Source organism: Homo sapiens, chromosome 12, assembly GCF_000001405.40.
Source record: "Homo sapiens chromosome 12, GRCh38.p14 Primary Assembly".
In the NCBI taxonomy this organism is placed as follows: Eukaryota; Metazoa; Chordata; class Mammalia; order Primates; family Hominidae; genus Homo; species Homo sapiens.
Genome location: NC_000012.12, coordinates 67980561 through 67982664, shown reverse-complemented (window position 1 = coordinate 67982664; position 2104 = coordinate 67980561). Strand labels below are relative to the sequence as shown.

Below are 2104 nucleotides of genomic sequence, written 5' to 3'. Positions count from 1 at the left end.
CTAAGTTTCCTTCAGCCTCAAAGAGTATGTTCTTAAGAACTATCACCTTGGATATTTCAGTTTTTAAAATTATACTTTTGCATACTTCAATTTGTTTAAATCAAGGCACACTTGTAATACAGGGCAATACGTATATACACTTGTTCACAGCAGGATCAATTTGGATTCAGGCTGACATTGTGCTCCTCTTCTGCAATCTAATTCAAATATAGACAGCGGTGAGCCGACAATGGAGCACCATGTGGAGTTTCAGCTCCTCTTGGGGAATGGAGGACATGCAACCAAACAGGTGGCTTCAATTAAGAGAGCAGCCGCTGCCAGGAAAAACCAGAGGGAAATCATCAAACCACCAAGGAAGCAACGACAGGTAGATGGGGTCAGTCCTGGAGACCCCTGGAGCATCGCCAGAGAACACAGCCCCACTAGGCCAGCACAACCAAGATTAATTGAAAAGAAAGTCAGTAAAGCATTGCATTCTATAGGTATATCTGTTGGTGATAAAGCTGACTTTCCTTTCAAAGCTGCAATGCAAAGTTAAAAAAAAGAAAAAAAGAAAAAAGAAAAATAGAGAGCATGAGACTGCTATTTAATGAGATGACAACAGAGATGTGCTTGAGATAATGACTTCCAAATTGTGAATGAGTCTGTAAAACCCTGAGCACAGCCCATCTGACTATGCTTAGAGTGTTCTCCATGTACTTTGGAGCTTTTCTGCCCCCATGCCTGCTGGAATACAAGGCTGATTCATTTGTTCGATTTATCCTTGAATACCTCCTCCCTATCTTTTCAGAGTGCAACAACAAAGGGCATGTTCTCTAAAAGCAAGGCCAGGAACAAACTCTTTTAAAAGCATTGAGAGTTGATTTTAATGGGAATGGAATGGTCAAGGAGAAAGACAAATGGGAACATATCTTTAGTTGGCAGCTGCTTTAATTTATTTCATATTAATGCAATCCGCTTCAAAGTCTCTGATCCCAGAAGCATTTCCAAGAATCATTTTTAATTAGGGCAGATTCTACACAACCAAAGCATAGGAGAAGGTGATACACTTAGGAGCTAATTCAGGCAACTCTCCCTGTCTCCTCTGAAGAATAAGAATTGAATAATTAAGAAGCCATGACTTGTCAAAAATGGTAGTCTAGATAAGTATCTTCTCTATTATTTTGATTAATATTTTAAAATGTCTGTGGAAACTGTGAGTAAAAGGCCTAGTCATCGTCCAAGTCAGATGACTCCTGACTTACTCAGAGCTGTAATTAAACCCCCTGCTGCTGCAGAGGCGACATGGGAAAGCTCTGCCACTGCTTGGTTAGCATCACCACAAAACCATGATGATCACTCTCATGTTCCCAAAAGGTCTCAAAGAAGGTATTTCCTCCATTCCTGTCACATTTTTGTTTCAGGAATTCAGATATTCAGGAAAATACCTTTGTAAAACTTGATTGGCAAGCACAGACATTTCGGTTCTAGGGTACAAGAATTTCTGATCACTTGTATTGGGATCAATAGAAGAAGTAGAAAATGAGGACTGATAACAAAAAATGTAAAAAAGCAAGAAAGTTGTTGAGGAGAATCAGAGTTTTATTGGGAGGTTCAAGAAGACAAAAATAAACTAATGTAAACTAAAAAATAAACTGAGTTGTCTATACCTTCTAGGAGGGTACAGGGAACACGAACTTTGATCTACAAGATATAGCCAAAATTAGAGGGACGCCCCTCTCTGCAGACCTTATGCAGCTCACAAATCCTAAAATATTTACTATCTGAACTTTTACAGAAAAATTTGGTTGATTCTTAATCCAGAAATAACCACCATTATTCTGGTGCCTCTTCTTCCCAATCCCTATTGAGCACTTGTGCAAATTTTTAAGAAAACAAAGTCTGTGATACTGCTGTTTATAGTTTTTATTGATATATAGTATTTGTGCATATTTATTAAAAATGTGATATTTTGTTAAATATATGGAATATGTAATGATTAAGTCAGGCTATTTAGAATATCTACCACCTTCTTTATCATTTCCATGTGTTGGAAACATTTCAAGTCTTCTCTTCTAGGTATTTTGAAATATACAGTACATGATTGTTAACTACAGTCACCCTA

General features: G+C 37.7%; 1 annotated feature.

Annotated features, from left to right (window-relative positions):
* Nucleotides 391-1590: an enhancer, noted in NCBI's record as "BRD4-independent group 4 enhancer chr12:68374855-68376054 (GRCh37/hg19 assembly coordinates)". NCBI's record gives its function as "activates an origin of replication core promoter dependent on BRD2, P300/CBP, MED14 and CDK7 cofactors, and independent of BRD4, by STARR-seq in HCT116 cells {active_cell/tissue: HCT116}" and the evidence as "EXISTENCE:reporter gene assay evidence [ECO:0000049][PMID:35650434]".